Below are 2,157 nucleotides of genomic sequence, written 5' to 3'. Positions count from 1 at the left end.
ATATTATAATTGTTGTAAGGAAAAGAATTTGTACACTGATAGTTTAAATGAAGATGAGAACTCACCCCTTTTTTCCTGGAACATTATTTTTACATAAAAGAATGACTGACTAACAGAAAAATATGGTTATTCAAAGTTTGTGGGGAAAAGTAAGAGAGATCAGATTGTTACTGTGTCTGTGTAGAAAGAAGTAGACATAGGAGACTCCATTTTGTTCTGTACTAAGAAAAATTCTTCTGCCTTGAGATTCTGTTAATCTATAACCTTACCCCCAACCCCGTGCTCTCTGAAACATGTGCTGTGTCAACTCAGAGTTGAATGGATTAAGGGCGGTACAAGATGTGCTTTGTTAAACAGGTGCTTGAAGGCAGCATGCTCCTTAAGAGTCATCACCACTCCCTAATCTCAAGTACCCAGGGACACAAAAACTGCGGAAGGCCGCAGGGACCTCTGCCTAGGAAAGCCAGGTATTGTCCAAGGTTTCTCCCCATGTGATAGTCTGAAATATGGCCTCGTGGGAAGGGAAAGACCTGACCGTCCCCCAGCCCGACACCCGTAAAGGGTCTGTGCTGAGGAGGATTAGTAAAAGAGGAAGGAATGCCTCTTGCAGTTGAGACAAGAGGAAAACATCTGTCTCCTGCCTGCCCCTGGGCAATGGAATGTCTCGGTATAAAACCCGATTGTATGCTCCATCTACTGAGATAGGGAAAAACCGCCTTAGGGCTGGAGGTGGGACCTGCGGGCAGCAATACTGCTTTGTAAAGCATTGAGATGTTTATGTGTATGCATATCTAAAAGCACAGCACTTAATCCTTTACATTGTCTATGATGCAAAGACCTTTGTTCACGTGTTTGTCTGCTGACCCTCTCCCCACAATTGTCTTGTGACCCTGACACATCCCCCTCTTCGAGAAACACCCACAAATGATCAATAAATACTAAGGGAACTCAGAGGCTGGCGGGATCCTCCATATGCTGAACGCTGGTTCCCCGGGTCCCCTTATTTCTTTCTCTATACTTTGTCTCTGTGTCTTTTTCTTTTCCAAATCTCTCGTCCCACCTTACGAGAAACACCCACAGGTGTGGAGGGGCAACCCACCCCTACAAAAGTTGGGTATTTGATTGCCTTTTTTTTTTTAAATGAACAAAAGGAGCTTGTCATTTCCAGAAAAACAAGTATTGGTGGCAAAGATAAAATTCAAAATTTCAAGCAAAAATTAGGATTTTGAAAAATTTGAATCTGTCAAAATGAATTCTGTCTTTGGGATATTCTAATTAGTCAAAATATCTTTTTAAAATTAAGGCAACATTTTAAAATTCAACATAAAAATACTTAGAATATTTTCTTATGAGATCAAATGGTGATATTAACAAATGTGGTATAATGAAATGCATCAACATTTGGATTGTCTGTATAATTAAGTATACCAACGTTTTTCAAATGATCCAAACCATTCTCAGGTAAAATATTTATTCAGACTACAAAAGAACCAATAGATTTTTATATAGCAAAGTATAAGTTCATTAACATGATTTCAGATTCAAGATTGTGACTTTTAAGGACTACCACTTGCCAAGTTTGGGTATAGCATCAAAAATGATATTCACAATTATCTGAGACATTTAAAAATACTTTTCTATTTTCAACTATTTATCTCAGTGAGGCTGGATTTTCTTTATATACTAAAACAACATGTTGCAATGTATTAAATACAAAAGCCGATATGATTATCCGGCTGTCTTCTCATAAGTCAGATATTAACAACATTTGAAAAGACACATTTAAAAAGTCACTCTTCTAACTAAACTTTTACTTTTCAAAATAGTTACTTTTTATTAAAATGTATTTATTTTTCATACATTGTATTTCAACAAATATAATTTTATAATTTATGTTTTAGTGTCTTAATACAGATATTTCAAGATAAATCCATTCATAAGTATAATAAAAATTTCAGTTTTAATTTCAAATGAGGTAATATCAGTAGATACAACTTACATAAACAGAAGCTTTTGGCCGATCCTCAATACTTTCTCAAGTAAATGATTCCCAAGAAAATGTGTGTGAAATAAAGTTCTATTGCAAAGACATTTCCTAACATATTTTAACAATTCCTCTTTTTTGTATATCAGGACACATGTGGCTTATACTAGTTC

At 35.8% G+C, this 2,157-nt stretch overlaps 2 annotated features.

Annotated features, from left to right (window-relative positions):
- Positions 1-791: an enhancer, noted in NCBI's record as "OCT4-NANOG-H3K27ac hESC enhancer chr9:31633192-31633982 (GRCh37/hg19 assembly coordinates)". NCBI's record gives its function as "activates a minimal SCP1, AML or CMV promoter by ChIP-STARR-seq in primed H9 embryonic stem cells {active_cell/tissue: H9 hESC(primed)}" and the evidence as "EXISTENCE:reporter gene assay evidence [ECO:0000049][PMID:30033119]".
- Positions 792-1,583: an enhancer, noted in NCBI's record as "OCT4-NANOG-H3K27ac hESC enhancer chr9:31632400-31633191 (GRCh37/hg19 assembly coordinates)". NCBI's record gives its function as "activates a minimal SCP1, AML or CMV promoter by ChIP-STARR-seq in primed H9 embryonic stem cells {active_cell/tissue: H9 hESC(primed)}" and the evidence as "EXISTENCE:reporter gene assay evidence [ECO:0000049][PMID:30033119]".

The sequence above is a fragment of the Homo sapiens genome, chromosome 9 (assembly GCF_000001405.40).
Source record: "Homo sapiens chromosome 9, GRCh38.p14 Primary Assembly".
Classification (NCBI taxonomy): domain Eukaryota; kingdom Metazoa; phylum Chordata; class Mammalia; order Primates; family Hominidae; genus Homo; species Homo sapiens.
This window is presented reverse-complemented; position numbering and strand designations above follow the sequence as displayed.